At 40.3% G+C, this 19,605-nt stretch overlaps 1 protein-coding gene and 2 pseudogenes across 15 annotated transcripts in view; 1 reads left to right on the plus strand and 2 right to left on the minus strand.

The window, feature by feature from the left end:
* Positions 1 to 19,605, minus strand: part of CDK19 (cyclin dependent kinase 19) — a 205,878-nt gene that overhangs the window by 94,665 nt on the left and 91,608 nt on the right. The gene's annotated exons all lie outside the window — the stretch shown is intronic.
* On the minus strand, positions 17,608 to 17,706 carry RNU6-957P (RNA, U6 small nuclear 957, pseudogene; annotated as a pseudogene).
* On the plus strand, positions 19,200 to 19,363 carry LOC124901502 (uncharacterized; annotated as a pseudogene).

Genomic DNA, 19,605 nt, shown 5'->3' on the forward strand with positions numbered 1-19,605 from the left:
TCCATGTTATGAATGCAGTCAATATCAACAAATCTTTTTAGTTATCTTTTTAAGTTCTCATATAACCCAGAAGTCAAAAGTTGTTCAGGGCATGTGTTCTACAACTATATAGATTCAGGTAATCTACACGTGCCCCAGGACTGTGGGATCATAGGCCAAGGCTAATTCTGGAAGCAATGAGAGGGAGATGGAGGGAGGGAGAATAGGACCTGGCATGGGCAATGGCAATAAAAATAGAAAGGAGGGGTTAGATAAAAAGAGGGCAAGAAAGAGTGAATAGGATTTAGTAATTGATAGGCTGAGGGAAAATGACCCAGGATGGTACAAGCAACCAAAAAGATGGTGGTACAATTTAGAGATAAGGAAAAGCATTACAGGTTTAAGGTGTGAAGAAATGTAGTTTTTTTTTTTTTTTTGGAGATGGAGTTTCACTCTTGTCACCCAGGCTGGAGCAATGGCACAATCTCAGCTCACCGCAGCCTCTGCCTACCAGGTTCAAGCAATTCTCCTGCCTCAGCCTCCCGAATACCTGGGATTACAGGCATGCGCCACCACGCCCGGCTAATTTTGTATTTTTAGTAGAGACGGGGTTTCTCCATGTTGGTCAGGCTGGTCTCAAACTCCCAACCTCAGGTGATCCACCTGCCTCGGCCTCCGTAAGTGCTGGGATTACAGGCGTGAGCCACTGCGCCTGGCCAGAAATGTAGATTTTAGTATCAGATGTGATGAGCTCAAGATGTTCATGGGGCATACAGTTAGTGATCCTGGTTATCTGGATCTGAAGCTCAGGAGAGAGTGCTCAACTGCAGGTAAAGAACTTGGGAGTCATAAACATAGAGAAGAGATTGCCCAGAAGCATTGTAAGGGAGCAAATGGGAAGGGCATTCAGGAGAGAGCTCTTTTGGAAAATAAAAACATTATAAGCGTCTGAAAAAGAGCTATTTAAGGCACAGGATTACACAGACTCCGAAGGTACGTTCACAGAAGCGAAGCATCCTTCTCTCAGGAGAGGATATTGTTATGAAAACCAAGAAAGATTACCTTCCTCCCAGAAGCGGAAACAGATAACAATTTCAGTATTAAGAGAAATATCTCAGCAAATTAACACAGGAACAGAAACCAAATGCCACATGTTCCCACTCATAAGTGAGAGTTGAACAATGAGAACATATAGCCACAGGGAGGGGAACATCACACACTGGGGCTTGTCAGGGGTAGGGAGCAGGGATAGCATTAGGAGAAATACCAGATGTAGATGATGGGTTGATGGGTGCAGCAAACCACCATGGCACATGTATACCTATGTAATAAACCTGCACGTTCTACACATGTATCCCAGAACTTAAAGTATAATAAAAAATAAAAATAATAATAATAAAAAAAATCTGGACCTTAACCTGTTTTGTTTTCTTGTTTGTTTGTTTGTTTTTGAGACGGAGTCTTGCTGTCGCCCAGGCTGGAGTGCAATGGCGTGATCTCTGCTTACTGCAGCCTCTGCCTCCTGGGTTGATGTGATTCTTCTGTGTCAGCCTCCCGAGTAGCTGGGATTACAGGCGCCCACCACCACACCCAGCTAATTTTTGTATTTTTAGGAGAGAAGGGGTTTCACCATGTTGGCCAGGCTGCTCTCAAACTCCTGACCTCAGGTGATCCACCTGCCTCAGCCTCTCAAAGTGCTAGGATTACAGAAGTGAGCCACCGTGCATGCCCAGCCAACCTGTTGTTTACAACAATGTCAACAGCATGCTGGGTAACACTGTTGTTTTTTTTTTGTTTGTTTTTTTTTTTTTGAGACAGAGTCTGGCTCTGTCGCCCATGCTGGAGTGCAGTGGCGTGATCTCAGCTCACTGCAAGCTCCGCCTCCCAGGTTCATGCCATTCTCCTGCCTCAGCCTCCTAAGTAGCTGGGATTACAGGCGCCTGCCACCACGCCCAGCTGATTTTTCTATTTTTAGTGGAGACAGGGTTTCACCATGTTAGCCAGGATGGTCTTGATCTCCTGACCTTGTGATCCACCTGCCTCGGCCTCCCAAAGTGCTGGGATTACAAGCGTGAGCCACCGCGCCTGGCCCACTGGGTAACACTGTTGATAGACTCTTCCAGTTTTGCCAGAGTAACATTGTGGGACACTCCTGTTTGAAATTTTTGAATAGTACCCATACCCTTGATGTCTACAATATCACCTTTCTTGTAGATTCACATGTATGTGGCCAAAGGAATAACTCCACGTTTTCTAAAAGGCTATATTTTTAAAGAAAATATAGCAGTGCTACTCCTCTTTCCCTTTGTCAATTTGGCAAAGTGGAAGATGGCAGTTCTGGCCAGAAGACATTATTTTTACATCTCTCTTTTACAGTTAAAAAAAAAAAAAAAAAAACTGAGAAGGCAGCCGGGCACGGTGGCTCACACCTGTAATCCTAGCACTTTGGGAGGCTGAGGCAGGCCGATCACCTGAGGTCAGGAGTTTGAGACCAGCCTGGCCAAACAATGACAATCTTTTAGTAGAGACGATGGTGAAACCCCATCTCTACTAAAAATACAAAAATTAGCCAGGCGTAGTCACACATGCCTGTAATCTCAGCTACCTGGGAGGTTGAGGCAAGAGAACCACTGGAACCCGGAAGGCAGAGGCTACAGTGAGCCAAGATCTTACCACTGCACTCCAGCCTGAGTGACAGAGGGAGCCTCTGTCTCAAAAACAAACAAAACAAAACAAAAAAACTGAGAAGGCTGAAAGGCTAAGTACACAGCCAATAAATGGCAGAACAGGCATTAAAACACATCTTTGGATACCTGGATACCTGTATCCAAAGATGTGTTTTACCAGGATACAGATCATATCATCTATCTGTATATGCACACAAACATACAATATTTTCACTAAAAAATGGGAACACACTAACCACATAGTTTTGTAACCAGCCCTTTTTCACTTAGCATATTGTAAACAACTTTTCTGTCAACAAATACCTATCTACAACAGCAGTTTTAACAGCTGCATAGTACTCCACTGCCAGGGTATGAAATTGCTTTAAATAGTATATTTCAGCCAGGCGCAGCAGCTCATGCCTGTAATCCCAACACTTTGGGAAGCTGAGGCAGGTGAAATCACCTGAGGTCAGGAGTTTGAGAGCAGCTTGGCCAACATGGTGAAACCCCATGTCTACTAAAAATACAAAAATTAGCTGGACATGGTGGCAGGCACCTGTAGTCCCAGCTACTTGGGAGGCTGAGGCAGGTGAATCTCTTGAACCCGGGAGGCAGAGGCTGCAGTGAGACGAGATCATGCCACTGCACTCCAGCCTGGGCGACACGGTGAGACTATGACTCAAAAATAAATAAATAGTATGTTTATGTTACTCTAATATTATAGTATGTTTTTTAATATTATAAACAATGCTATAATGAATAGTGTGTACATCTGCATGATTAACTCCTTAAGATAAAAATACCCAAAAGAGGAAAGCGCTCTTTTCAGGCTTTTGGTACTGATTCAGTTTCTAGCTACATTTCAAGTGTTCAAAAGCCCTTGTGACTAGTGACTACCACACTGGACAGTACAGATACTTTCCCTCATTGCCAAGGGTTCTATTCAACGGTGCTGGTCCACACTGTTCCAGACCATGCAGATCACTGTTGAATCTTGGGGCATGGCCTCCCACTTCAGCCTGATATTGGAGCCCCTCTCTATCCTACTCCTGAAGGCCACCCTCCACAGTGATTTCTGCTAACCCTGCAGCTGCAGCACATAGGATGTGCACTGGAGAGCTGGTTCCCTCCCCCTATAGCTCCACCTAGGCTAGGAGAATAGAGATTTTACCTACAGAGATTTTACCTGCAGACATCATTGTTCCTACTCTTGTTTCCAGCCCCAGCTCCCAGCCTGCATATGTTACTAGGTTTGTATGGAAGGGCAGGCTCTCCGACCAACCTCTAAGCAAGTTTCCCTCAAGTGTGCTGGCTAACAATGGGCAGGCTGATGTGTAACTTCCCTCTACTCTTACTTTACTGTTTTCTACCAAAGCTCTTCAACATGACACTGTGAGTGAAAACTTTTTTTAATTTTGCAAGGGTGATGTAAATTCTTCTGCATTCTATCATTTGGGTGTTTCAGCAAAAAACTGGTAAGAGGGTGAAAGATGACTCACCACCTTGGACTAAGAAGTAAAAGCTTTTAAAGCTTATAGGCATTTCAAATGGTTTTAAGTAACAACTTGATATCTCAACTGGCTCTCTTTACTTTTCCATTTGAAATCTGCTTAAGAAATAAGCACCTAGAAAAGGTTTGCCTAACCGAATCCAGCAGCACATCAAAAAGCTTATCCAAAGCTTATCTACCATGATCAAGTCGGCTTCATCCTTGGGATGCAAGGCTGGTTCAACATACGCAAATCAATAAATGTAATCTATCACATAAACAGAACCAATGACAAAAACCACATTATTATCTCAATAGATGCAGAAAAGGCCTTCATACTAAAAACCTCAATAAACTAGGTATTGATGGAACCTCAAAATAATAGGTATTGATGGTATCTCAAAATAATAAGAGCTATTTATAAAAACCCACAGCCAGTATCATACTGAAAACTGGAAGCATTCCCTTTGAAAACCGGCACAAGGCAAGGATGCCCTCTCTCATCACTCCTGTTCAACAGAGTGTGATATACAGATGAATGGAACAGAATAGAAGCCTCAGAAATAACACCTATCGAGGGGTGGAGGGCTGGGGGAGGGATGGCATTAGGAGAAATACCTAATGTAGATGACGAGTTGATGGGTGCAGCAAATCACCATGGCACATGTATACCTATGTAACAAACCTGCACATTCTACACATGTACTCCAGAACTTAAAGTATAATTAAAAAAAAAAAAAAAGAAAGGTTTGCCTTAGTTAAGGGTCACAATGTAATAAGCAAGAAATAGCAAACTGTTACAAATTTATTATGTAAATAGCAAATAGACTTTCTACAGGATCTTTAGTCATGGAAATGCAATTTCTTTGAGGTAGAAAGGAAAAATGTATTTTCCATTTACATTTGCAAGATAATAAATAACAACCCACATGTAATTACAGAATGAATAAAGACTAAAAAATAGAAATTCTAATGTAATTCTAATTCACAATCATGCTAGAAACCCTACTTTAAGAAGCTGTAGTATTCTTGAAATGTTTACACACCATCAAAATATATATACAAGGGTAGAATCTAACCTAATAAAATTAAAATAAAACTTCTTATACACAAATCATCTATGTGTTAGTGACACATCTGAATATCACTATGTATTATTTTCCCAAGCTAATAAATAGGTTTGACTTTAGAAATTTATCATCACAAAAAAGACTATAGTATCAATTATAATTTCATACTCAAACTCCCTCTTTTCAGTCAATAAAATATATACAGAATTGAAAGTATGGTATATAACTGGTAGATCACACATAACAATGCAAAGTACTAAACACCATTTAAGAAGAAAGGCGGCTCATGACAAGAAAAAGTAAAAGCAATAGAAAAGTAGTCATTTATAACAAACTAATCTTGAAGCCAACTCAACCAAACACAGTTTTGTTATATGAGCCTTCACTTCATGCTTTGTCGAAGTGTCAAGACTCATGTGAGAGAAGATCTGTTCTGGCTCTTCAGCAACTCACCGGGGAGTCATTTTTGTCTTATGTGGGAGAGGCTCTGAAACCATTATGTTCTATCACTGCCAGAATTGGCTGACTTGTCTAAAGGATCAGGAGCCAAACACAGAAACAACTATGAAAGAACCTGGGATCATCAGTCAAAAGACATAGCAAGCCTAAATGGAAATATAATAATACCCTTTGTCTCAGTCTGTTTGGGCTGCTATGGCAAATTACCATAGAACGGTTAGCTTATAAACAAAAGAAATTTATTTCTCACATTTCTGTAGATCAGGAAGTCCAAGATCAAGGCACCAGGAGATTTGCTGTCTGGTGAGGGCCACTTCCTCAGAGACTGCCATCTTCTCACTGTAACCTCACATGGTGGAATGGGAAAGGGTCTTTCTGTGGTCCTGTTTATAACGGCACCAATCTCATTCATGAGTGTGAAGCTGTAGTGACTTAATCATCTCCCAAAGGCTTCACCTCCTAATATCATCATCTTGAAGGCTAAGATATCAACATATGAATTTTGGAGGGACACAAACATTCAGACCATATCCTCCCTCCCGTAGAAGACACAAGGGTAATCTAATCTACAAGGCTACAGACTTCATTTCTGCATTAGATTCTTATATTGCATGTAAAAAACAACAAAAAGGGCAGAGGGGTTAGCCGCAACTGATCTAATCTCATATCGTCTATAATAAGAGCTTACAATCAGTTATGAATATTAGAGACATCCATTAAAAACTATAAAGTTCTCAAAAGCAAGAAAAGCAATGTAATAAATGAGTTATTTTATGGAGAAAAAAAATTCAAGTACACGAAAAAGCCAAAATCCTACACTAATAAAACCTAATGAAAAGAGGAATGATACCTACAATAGGTTTCTTAGGAATATATTGTGATATAAAATATTAATGTCTACATATTTCTTTGTTAAGAATGGTTAGACACTGAATGTCAGCTATTTTCTGTAGAGAGGGGTTAACAAAGAAATAAATTGTGCTTATTTATTAATTATACCTTCAACATTTAAAGCTAATTACTTTCTTAAAGAAGAGCTTGGCTTGACAATATCCTTAGTAAATGAAGACATTATTTGGATTTCAAAAGGGTATTTGAATTATTTAAGTCTTACATTTTATACCAGGATCAACAAATGTACTCTTACATACAACAGTTTTAAAAGAGGTAAACAAATTTACGTATCAATTAAAACCAGGAATGTCCTAGTGCTTTATTCAAACCTCAAGAAATATTTTTGTGTAGCAAAAAGAAAAAAAAAATCGCTGGAAGACAACAATATGACACTTGTAAGTCAAAGGAAAATATCAGGTCTACCTTGATGGAGAATTTATATATGAACTAATATATAACATGAATAGTAAATAGATTACAATGGGTTGGGCACAGTGGCTCACGCCTGCAATCCCAGCACTTTGGGAGGCCAAGGCGGGTGGATCACCTGAGGGCAGGAGTTTGAGACCAGCCTGGCCAACATGGCAAAACCCTGTCTCTACTAAAAATACAAAAATTAACCGGGCGTGGTGGCGGGTGCCTGCAGTCCTAGCTACTTGGGAGGCTGAGGCAGGAGAATTGCCTGAACCCAGGCTGGGGGGCGGAGGTTGTAGTGAGCAGAGGTTGCGCCACTGCACTCCAGCCTGGGTGACACTGCGAGACTCCGTCTCAAAAAATAAATAAATAAATTACAACGAACTTCAGGTAGTTTTTGGTACTAGCTAGTAAGATTGGCTACTTTTTTAACTGCAGTGACACAAATTTACAATGCTCTAGGACAGTGTCTCCCCAAATGATGTTATGTAGGCCATTAACAGACAGGCTACTCCTCCTGTAAAAAAAGTTCTGAGTTCAAATAAGTTTGGGAAATGCTGACTCCAACAGGTTTCTTGACTGAGTAAGTAATACAGCACTTAACAGGCTAAGGTGTTATGGGCCTCCAAGAACAGGTAAGCAAACTTTGCTAAATATATTTGAGCATAGAATCTTCTCCTCTCTTCCAAAGCAGAGCTTCTTTTCGCATTTCCAGGTACTAATACTCTATGGAACATAATTTGGGAAAGAAACACCACCCTCAAGATAGTCTATATGTTCTACGTTGGATAGAAACATCAATTTACTAGATAAAGATACTGAATCAGCATTAAATAATGTTTGATCTTTAGAAAAAGCAGACTTCTATGGAACTATAGTACTAACTGCTATGGACAATTTCTCTTCTAGTGGATTTCACAAAAGAAGTCTGGGCCTTTGCCTTATTAGATCTCATTCTCATTCCCCATCCCACTTCACTCTTGTCTTTGGGGTTCTTGCCGCCCAGGTTTCCTTGCTAAGGCAGAGGATGCAGAGATGCTGAAACGTAAAAAGATCTAGGGAAGCCAGCAGGAGTGTGGCGAAGCAGGATAAACAGGATATTTATCCACAGTGGCTAGAAACCATGTCATTAAAGGAGTAGGTTAGCTAAAGAGAGTCAAAAATTAGTGCCAATAGAACAGAATAAAGTTTCAGGTCAGAAAGGCATGTATGAAACTAACGGTAAGAAGTTAAGTAGATTCAGAATAAGATGGCAGGGAAAGTGTAAACAGTTTGAGACATACTGTTCATCACAGTTAAAAAGCAACATATGGCCGGGTGTGGTGGCTCACACCTGTAATCCCAGCACTTTGGGAGGCTGAGGCAGGCAGATCATGAGGTCAGGAGATTGGCCAACATGGTGAAACCCCGTCTCTACTAAAAATACAAAAATTAGCTGGGCGTGGTGGCGCGCGCCTGTAATCCCAGCTACTTAGGAGGCTGACACAGGAGACTCGCTTGAACCAGGGAGTTGGAGGTTGCGGTGAGCCAAGATCGTGCCACTGCACTCCAGCCTGATGACAGAGTGAGATCCCATCTCAAAAAAAAAAAAAAAAAGCAACATACTAGGCACAATAAAATACCCTGCATGAGACTACCTTGTGGTGATTTATCCTAGGGTTGTTTGTAACTAGCAAAACTCCTAGCTGGGTATGATGTTGCATGCCTGTGGAGGCTGAGGCAGGACAATGGCGTGGACCCGGGAGGCGGAGCTTGCAGGGAGCTGAGATCGCGCCACTGCACTCCAGCCTGGGTGACAGAGAGAGACTCTGTCTCAAAAAAAAAAAAAAAAAAATCCTGGGCTCAAGTGATCCTCTTGTCTCAAAAAAAAAAAAAAAATTCCTGGGCTCAAGTGATCCTCTTGTCTCAGCCTCCTGAGTAGCTAGGACTACTACCACACCCAGCTAATATTTTCATTTTTTGTAGAGATGGGGTCTACTATGTTGCCCAGGCTGATTTCTATATATTTTCACCAAACATAACGTTTTGTAATTTTTCTAAGCACAAAACAACAATATTGAAATAAAATTCCCTTTAGTTTTAAATTTTTTACTTTGGTAATATTTTACTAAGAAAAGAATTATAGGCTGGGCACTCAGGCCTGTAATCCTAGCATTTGGGAGGTTGAGGCAGGAGGACTGCTTGAGGGTAGGAGTTCAAGACCATCCTGGGCAACATGGCAAGACCCCAATCTCTACAAAAAATTTTAAAATGTTTTAAACTTAAAAAAATTTGTCTTAAAGAAAACCTTACTGAGTATTCTTTCTTTTTACTGAGGTAAAATTTCACATAACATAAACTTCACCATTTTAAAGTATGGAATTCAGTGACTTCCAGTATATTCCCAACGTTGTGTAAGAATCACAATTATATAATTCCAGAACATTTTTATCACCCCCAAAAAGAAACAGCATATCCATTAAGCAACAACTCCCCATTCTCCCTTCATCCCAGCCCCTGGCAACCAATAATCTGCTATGTCTATGGATTTGCTTACTCTGGACATTTCATATAAATGAAACTATACAATATATAGCTCTTGGTGTCTGGGTTGTTTCATTTCACATAATGTTCTCAAGGTTCATCCATGTGTGGCCAGTATGGCTGAATAATATTCCCTTATATGGATATAGCACATTTTGTTTATCCATTCATCAGCTGATGGATACGACAGTTATTTCTAATTTTTTGTTATTGTGAATAATGCTGCTATAAACATTCACATGCAAGTTTTTGTTTCAACATCTGTTTTCAATTCTCTTGGGTATACACCTAGAAGTGGAACTCCTGGGTCATATGGTAACTTTTTGAGGAACCACCAAAATGTTTTCTATAGTGGCTGTACCATTTTACATTCCCAACAGCAATGGGTGAGGGGTCCAATGTCTCTAAATCCTCACCAATAGTTGTTATTTCCCTTTTGTTATTATTATTACCATTCTAATGGGTGTGAAGTAGTATCTTGTGGCTTTGATTTGCATTTCTTTTCCTAATAATTAATGACGTTGAGCATCTTTTCATGTGCTTAAAGGTGATTCATATATCTTCTTTGGAAAAATGTCTTTTCTTTTTTTTTTTTTTTTTTTTTAATTTTTTGAGATGGAGTCTCACTCTGTCGCCCAGGCTAGAGCACAGTGGCACAACCTCGGCTCACTGCAACCTCTGACTCTCAGGTGCAAGCAATTCTCCTGCCTCAGCCTCCCAAGTAGCTGGAATTACAGGCATGCGCCACCACGCCCGGCTAATTTCTGTATTTTTAGTAGAAACGGGATTTCACCATGTTGTCCAGGCTGGTCTTGAACTCCTGACCTCAGGTTGTCTGCCTGCCTCGGCCTCCCAAAGTGCTGGAATTACAGGCGTGAGCCACCATGCCTGGCCGAAAAATGTCTTTTCAAGTCCCTTGCCCGGTTTTTAATGGGGTTTCTTTTTTGTGAATATTCATTTTTAAATCTATTAGGCAATCACCTTTTCTTGAATTCTTCAAGTCTGCAGACTGGTTTTAGCCACATTTTGCTAACGTTTAACATTTCCTCACCCTCCTCTGAATTCACATCTTATAATGCTCTCTAGGACACTGAGGACCAGCTCATGATACCTAACATACCTAAAAGTAGCTTAATCATTAAGTGAAAAAGACAACATTATGCTAATAGACTAATAGGGTCAAAAATAACTTGGTCATTTAAACTAAACCAACATTTTCTGAACACTCCTATATTTAAGGCGCTATATGGGGCTTTGTTTAAATATTTAAGAATCAGACAGAAAATGAGTCTTTAATGTCTTTACAATGGTACTAACTACTCTGTCATTCATTTTGTGTATTCAGTTCTTTGGCAGAAACTTTTTTTTTTGAGACTAGTCGCTCTGTTGCCCAGGCTGTAGTGCTGCGGGGCATCTTGGCCCACTGCAACCTCTGCCTCCCAGCTTCAAGCGATTCTCCTGCCTCAGTCCCCCGAGTACTTGAGATACAGGCGTGCGCCACACACCTGGCTAACTTTTGTATTTTTAGTAGGGATGGGGTTTTGCCATGTTGGTCAGGCTGGTCTCAAACTCGTGGACCTCACATGATCCACCTGCCTCGGCCTCCCAAAGTGCTGGGATTACAGGCGTGAGCCATCACACCCTGCCATCTTCGGCAGAAACTTTTTGTAAATGATCATCAAAGTCTCTGAATCCTAAAACATCAAGCAGTTTGCATTTCAAAACATTTTTATATGATTTAAGTAACAGAAAACAACGGAACATCCTTCTTTTATAAGCACCCTAAAATAGTATGGCACTACTTAATGGCATTCTTCATGAACAAAAGCATACTACATTTACTAACAAAGCACGCATTTTCTGTCTGGAAGGAAGTGTAACAATGCTAATTATGTTTTAAATCCATGAGGCTCATTAAGAGGAATCACATAACTAATATTATAATTTCTCTTCTGAGCTTAGGGTAGGCAGATTATTTTTAAAATAAGATAATTAATTTAAAGATATAACATATTTCTTTAATTCCATATCTAACATTTAACTTTAAAAAATGTTCTTTTAAAAATGAAGGATGCTCAAGTATAAGGAAAACATAAATATGCAAACACATACATAATTTTTATTAGAGTACGTAGCATGATATTACACTGTAGAATTAATAAGCATTTCTATATATAAAAAAAAGCAAGCCACAAAACTCATACTTTCTATTTATTAAAAGTATTAATCACTGGACCACCTATGAGTTCAAATATTTTATCAAACTTTAATTGAAAAATTGTAACAAAGAAAAAAAAACCTAACAAATGACTTAGGAACAGTACACACTGTATGATCCCAGGTGATGCTGGTGCTGAGGACTCGGAAACCACACTTTGAAAACCACTGTCTTAGATCATGGCAAAGAATCTTTCTACAAAAAGATTATAGAAGTATTAAATAATCTTTCTAGAATATTCAAACATTATCTGAACATGCCTAGAATAGTCCCAGGCTTTGAAAAATTCCTCAAGTTAAACATGAAACAGTGCTCAGGTAATTTCATAAGGGATATATAGATATAGATATATAGAGAACAAAGAGAGAGAAAGAGATCTACGTGTATCTCTACTCTCTATATATTCTTCTCTGTATATCAATATATCAATAAATATATATATTGGTCCAGTGATCCAGTGGTCCAGTGATTGACACTTTTAATAAATAGAATGTGGCAGGGTGCAGTGGCTCACGCCTAAAATCCCAGCACTTTGGGAGGCCGAGGTGGACGGATCACGAGGTCAGGAGTTTGAGACCACCCTGGCCAACACAGTGAAACCTCGTCTCTACTAAAAATACAAAAATTAGCTGGGCATGGTGGCATGTGCCTGTAGTCCCAGCTACTCTGGAGGCTGAGGCAGGAGAATCACTGGAACCTGGGAGGCACAGGTTGGGGCTGAGATCATGCCACTGCACTTCAGCCTGGGCAACAGAGCAAGACTCTCTCTCAAAAATAAATAATAAATAAATGAATAAATAGAACGTATGAGTTTTGTGGCTTGCTTTATTTTTTTATACAGGAGTGCTTATATGATATATATCTATATATCACATATATAGATACATATGTATATATCCCTTATGAATGATATACTTGGGCCCCTGTATATACATTGATATATTTTGATATATATATCTCAAAATACCACTTTAAATCTTTTTATGGAATAAAGCAGACAATCAGTCAATGAGCCCTTAGAGCTGTGGACATATTATATATTTCAACTGACAGGTAGTACATACATTTGTAGTATATACATTTATACTAACGCTCCAGAAATCTCATGAGATAGAGAAATAAATTCTCCATGTTTCAAAGGTCTCTAATTCCATTATGACTCATCTTTTCAAGACTGTCTCATTTTCTTTATTTCCCTCATTAAACACATTTTAAACGGTACATGTGAAAAGTCAAAAAGGAAAATTCCTGGTTACTATGGTTTTATTAAGAAGTGGGGCCTTTCGGGGGTGATTAAGTTCAGAGGGTGGCATCCTCATGAATGAGATTAGTGCCTTTGTTTTTTTGTTTTGTTTTGTTTTCAGGTGGAGTTTTGCTCTTGTTGCCCAGGCTGGAATGCAAGGGCACGATCTTGGCTCACCGCAACCTCTGCCTCCTGGGTTCAAGCAATTCTCCTGCCTCAGCCTCCCACGTAGCTGGGATTACAGGCATGTACCACCATGCCCAGCTAATTTTGCATTTTTAGTAGAGATGGGGTTTCTCCATTTTGGTCACGCTGGTCTCAAACTCCCGACCACAGGTGATCTGCCCGCCTCGGCCTCCCAAAGTGCTGGGATTACAGAGATTAGTGCCTTTGTAAAGCAGGCCTAAAGGAGCCTGTTTGTCCCTTCTGCCACGTGAGGCCACCATAAAAAGGCTCCATTTATGATGGCAGAGAGCAAGCCCTCACCAGACACCCAATCTGCCGGCACCTTGATCTTGACCCCAAATTTCTGTTGCCTGTAAGTTACCCAGTCCAAAGTGTTTTGTTGGAGCAGCCCAAATGGACTAAGACACCAGGTACCAGGAACAAATGAAAGCCAAAATAATGCAGTGGGCTGATGTATAAAGCCCAGGAGGATTTGAAATTTGGATATAGGCCCTAGAAGCTGGGGGTCTAAACCGCCACTCAAAAACAGATGACGACGCCTTAGGTGTATATATTCGAGGTGTGGAATTAGCCTCCTGCAGAGTCCAGAGCCCTAGGAAGAGCTACTATGTCAGTGAAAACAAGACTAGGAAAACTCTATCAACTGGCCTGGCCTGGGGAGGCAGTAAGGAAGCTTGTTGTATGTCCTGGGATTGTGTTGTGTATAGTGTGTAGAACAAAAGCAAAGAGAAAACCTTAAAATCACACACAGAGAGAAAAATTTACCTAGAAAGGCAAGACTATTACACTGATGGCTGACATCATATCAGCAATAACCAAAGCCAGAGAACCACGGAGAAATCTTCAAAGTCCAAAAAAAAAAAAAAAAAACCCTTCTAATTCTTTATCAAGCTAAATTATATTTTTTAAAATGAGGGCAAAATAAAGACATTTTCAGGCAACAAGTGAAAAAAATTGCCATTCACAGATAGTTGCTGAAAGAATCACTAAAAGATATACCAAAATAAGGAGTATATGCAAAAAAGCAAAATCATATACGTCAATCCAAATAAGCCCTGACTGTAAAGGAACTAAAATATATAAAGTTGGGGTAGAGTGTGGAGCAGTTAAGTGAAAACAAGGTAGAGCTAAAATAATAGAAAGAAATAGCAGGAGGGAAAGATATGAGGTAAAGAGTTCTAAAGTCCTTGTACTACTCTGGCAGAAGCTGGGAGGACTCGAATATTTAAGTCAAATATGTATGTAAAAATGCAAGCGTAACTACTAAATTAGAAAGAGTATAAGTCATTTTCAAATCATTAGTTCAGGGAGAAAAAAGAAATAAGAAAAATTCAATTAATGTTACACAAGTCAGAAAAGAAGGTGGAGGGAAAGCATGAGACAAAAAACACCACAAGATAGCAGAAATAATTCTAGGCCAGGTGCGGTAGCCCATGCCTATAATCCTAACACTTTGGGAGGCTGAGGTAGGAAGATCACTTGAGCCCAGGAGTTTTGAGACCAGCCTGGGCAACACAGTAAACCCTGTCTCTACAAAAAATTTTAAAAACAACCAGGCATGGTGGCTAATTTTTAAATTTTTGGTAGAGACAGGGTCCCACTATGCCTATGCCTGCAGTCCCAGCTATGTGGGAAGCTGAGGTGAGGGGAGCACTTTAGCATGGGAGATGGAAGCTGCAGTAAGCCATGATCTTACCACTGCACTCCAGCCTGGGTGACAGGGTGAGACCCCAACTCAAAAAATAAATAAATAAATCTAAACATATGAATAAATACATTCATGTAAACAGATTAAACTCTCCTAATGTAAAAAAGATGCTTAGACTAGAAAAGATAATACAGTTAAAGGAAAATAAAAACAGATTCCACAAAAACCTATTTCAATTAGAAAGCTGCTACTGTTTCTCTTAAATAAAGAGTTAGAATAGTAAGCAGTATGGTTTTTTTGTTTTGTTTTGTTTTGAGACAGAGTCTCACTCTGTCACACAGGCTGGGGTGCAGTGGCGCAATCTGGGCTCACTGCAACTTCCGCCTCCCAGGTTCAAGCGATTCTCCTGCCTCAGACTCCTGAGTAGCTGGGATTACAGGCATGCGCCACCATGTCCAGCTAATTTTTGTATTTTTAGTAGAGACGGCGTTTCACCATGTTGGTCAGGTTGGTCTTGAACTCCTGACCTTGTGATCCGCCCCCCCCCCCCCACCCCCCCCCTGCTTCGGCCTCCCAAAATGCTGGGATTACAGGCATGAGCCACTGTGCTCTGCCATGGCAGTGGGTTTAACAATCCAACTGATTGCCCCAAGTGTTCTGAAAACCCTGATTCATGAAGTCATGTAGCAGCAAAGAGAACCAGAATTCCCAGTACTTTGATACTTGTTCTTTACAGAATCAATGAACTTCTCTGCAATAGAAAATAACCTCATAATCCTCTCCTATTTCTCAAGAGAAGTTCTTGACAAGGCAGTGATTCAAAGCCCTGACTAGGTTAAAATGTGACTTTAGAGACCTTAGACAAGACTTCTTTCACGATCTTTGGCAGAGTCTTTGATGCCAATGTAAAAGCAATGATTCATAGTGGCTCGTGGAGCTTCTCCCTTCACCAAAGCAGCAAAACCAGATGTGCTGTCAGGTACTCAATCAGTTTTGCTGGCAAGCCACTTTTCACTGTTTTACGTCTCAATGGTCTTTCCAGTTTCCAAAATGTGTTCACAAAACAGTAATTATTTGATGGCATTAGCATGCTGTTAAACGACAAAAAAGAGAAGCTAGCTTCACTAAGATACATCAGAATTTCATTTGGGCCAGGCAAGGGTGGCTCATGTCTGTAATCCCAACACTTTGGGAGGCCAAGGCAGGCAGATTACCTGAGGTCAGGAATTCGAGACCAGTCTGGCCAACATGGTGAAACCCTGTCTCTAACAAAAGTACAAAACTTAGCAGGGTGTGGTGGTGCACACCTGTAGTCCCAGCTACTTGGGAGGCTGAGACAGGAGAATCGCTTGAACCCGGGAAGCAGAGGCTGCAGTGAGCTGAGATCACACGACTGGCACTCCAGCCTGAATAACAGGGCTAGACTCTGTCTCAAAAAAAAAAAAAAAAAAAATTTCATTTGGTTACATGCTATACACGTCAAATGTCACAGTTGCCAATTCCTGTAAAACCTTGATTTGGGGTCAGGCGTGGTGGCCCACACCTGTAATCCCAGCACTTTGGGAGACCAAGGTGGGCAGATCACCTGAGGTCAGCAGTTTGACACCAGCCTGACCAACATGGTGAAACCCCGACTCTACTAAAAATACAAAAAAATTAGCTGGTCGTGGTGACAGGCGCCTGTAGTCCCAGCTACTCAGGAGGCTGAGGCAGGAGAATCGCTTGAACCCGGGAGGCGGAGGTTGCAGTGAGCCAAGATTGCACCACTGCACTCCAGTCTGGGTGACAGAGTGAGACTGTCTCAAAAAATAAAAATAGAAATTAATTAATTAATTAATAAAACCTTGATTTGAGAGACTCCAAGGAAATAAAAAAGTCAACAATTCTAGAGGAGTAATATCATATGTTAGAGGCCTTCATTTTTCCCCTGCACCCAACCACAAACCATCCAGAGTTTGGAGGACTTCACCAAGGCCTCTCCAACCATATCACTTCTTTTGCTTGCAAGATTTTCTAAGATAACTTTTGTGGGGGCGCAAATTCAAGTTTAGGTAAGGTTCCCAGCCTTTTCAAATTAAGTCACCTTCTTACCAGATAAAAGGATTCCCAAGGCCCATTAGTTTCTGGCTAGGCACATAAAAGGGTTTCTTCAGCTTTGTTGGCCTCTTGCTTCCATTAATAAAACCCTTGCCAGATAAGAAAAACATGACTTGTGTTTCCTTGCACATTCATTCTTAAGAGTAAGATCAGGCCGGGCATGGCAGCTCACGCCTGTAATCCCAGCACTTTTGGAGGCCGAGGCAGGCAGATCACAAATCAAGGATTTGAGATCAGCCTGACCAACATGGTGAAACCTCGTCTCTACAAAAAAATACAAAAATTAGCCAGGCGTGGTGGTGCGCGCCTGTAATCCCAGCAACTCGGGAGGCCGAGGCCGGAGAATCACTTGAACCAGGGAGACAGAGGTTGCAGTGAGCCGAGATCACGCCATTGCGCTCCAGCCTGGGCAACAGAGTGAGACTCCATCTCAAAAAAAAAAGAGTAAGATCAAAGGACACACAAGTTTATCCTACTTTTTCTTTTCTTCTTATAATTTCTCTTATCTGTGTATGTGTAGGATTTTTTTAGATTTAAACTAGAACCTGCATAAATAACATATGACATGGCAAATTTTAAACGATTCCTCTCAATGGAAAACTGTTTTATACAGTCTTCACATAAAGCAATAATTAAAACTGCACATAATCTAAATGGATATGCTAGCAATCCACAATACCCTACACTTGTGGAGTTTTTAAATTTTTATTATTTTTTTTTAAATATGGAACTCTTCACAAATTTGCATGTCATCTTTGCACAGGGGCCATGCTAATCTCTGTATCATTCCAATTTTAGTGCTGCCAAAATAAGCAACCTATACTTATTTAAAGTAAGAGATGGGAAACAAATTCCTAAGCAATTTTGACTTAAAAAAAATGTTTTGGCCGGGTACGGTGGCTCATGCTTATAATCCTAGCACTTTGGGAGGCCAAGGCAGGAGGATCAGTGGAACTCAGGAGTTTGAGGCCAGCCTAGGCAATATAGTGAGATCTCATCTTTGTTTAAAAAAAAAAAAAAAAGTTTTAAATATTTAATTTTCAAATTAATAGGAAAATACATTTAAAAAATACTTTCTAAAAAAATACTGTCAAATTTCAGTTTACAGACCTCTCCTCAAAGTCCTGGAATAAGATAAAGAATTCCTAGCCTAGGCAACATAAGGAGACCCAGTCCTTACAAAAATTAGCTAGGCATGGTGGCACATGCCTGTAGTCCCAGCTACTAAGGAGGCTGAGGAGGGAGGATCACCTGAGTCTGGGGAGGTTGTGGTGGCAGTGAGCCATGATCGTGCCAATGTACTACAGCCTGGGTGACAGAGTGAGACCCTATCTCAAAAAAAAAAGGATTCCTGATCTTCTATCTCTAATGTTATTATAAAATACATATTCAAAACAAACAACAGTGGCAACTATTTAACTATTGTGACAGAATGTCTTTTCTAAAGATGGTCACAACAGTATCTTTGTACCACAGGCTCTTCCAAAACCTTGTCAACTCCCTCAGCAAGAGGTGAAGTCTAATTCCCCTCCTCTGTCTGAGTGTGCACTTGTAACCAATAGAAGGCTGTGGAAATGACAATGCTCAGCTTTCAAGGCTTTGTCAAAAAAAACAAAAAACAAAAAAAAAAACGCAGATTTGTCCTTGTTCACTTTAACATTCGAGGCCGCCAGGTTATACACAAGCAAGGCCACATGAAGGCAGTCTGGTCAACAATGCTAGCCTAGGTACCAGACATGTTGGTGAAAAAGCCATCAAACTATTTTGGCCCCCAGGAGTCAAGTGTGTCAATCTCAACTTTCCAGTCTTCCCAACTGAGATCCCAGTCACCACATGGCTGAGAAAAATCTATCCCCACTGTGCCCTTTCAGAGGGCACAACTTGCAGAATCGATGTGCATAATAAAAAGTGTTTCATGCCACTAAGTTTTGGAATGAGTGTTAAACAGCAGTATTAACAATAATAAATATATTAGGGGAAAAAGTTAACCCCATCTCTAAAATTGGATATTTTTTAGTCTAAACAATGCTAGGTTCCTGACCTACAAAATACCAACAAAGTAAATGCAATAAAATTACATACGGATTTTCTCTTGTGTCCACCACCAAAAGTTCTAAATAAAACAAACTTACACTAATCACTCCTGATTTTCACAAATGACAATTAAAGGCCTTTTTATACTTCAGCTCTTAAATAAGTCTCACAGAAATTATATGAACAAAGCCATGCCCACAGGCTTAAATGCTAGCTAGCTAAATTGTTAATACAAATTGTGATGTTTCTTCCCTTGCTGAGTATTAGAATATTCTCATCGCTTCTCGGCCTTTTGGCTAAGATCAAGTGTAGAATATTCTCTTCCCGTTATCTAGAAAAAAATGATTAACAAAATCCAATAATACTGAATATATCTTTTATATGTGGTCTACAATTGATAGTAATCATTTACTGCACAAGCTAAGACTGGAAAACATACCAACATTCTTAAAAAAAAAAAAAAAACTAGTTTAAAAGAAAGTAATTTTAAAAACTAGCCATTATAGGGCCAGGCACAGTGGCCCATGCCTGTAATCCCAGCACTTTGGGAGGCCGAGGCGGGTGGATCACCTGAGGGCAGGAGTTCGAGACCAGCCTGACCAACACAGAGAAACCCTGTCTCTACTAAAAATACAAAAATTAGCCAGGCGTGGTGGCGCATGCCTGTAATCCCAGCTACTTG

The sequence above is a fragment of the Homo sapiens genome, chromosome 6, assembly GCF_000001405.40.
Source record: "Homo sapiens chromosome 6, GRCh38.p14 Primary Assembly".
Lineage (NCBI taxonomy): Eukaryota > Metazoa > Chordata > Mammalia > Primates > Hominidae > Homo > Homo sapiens.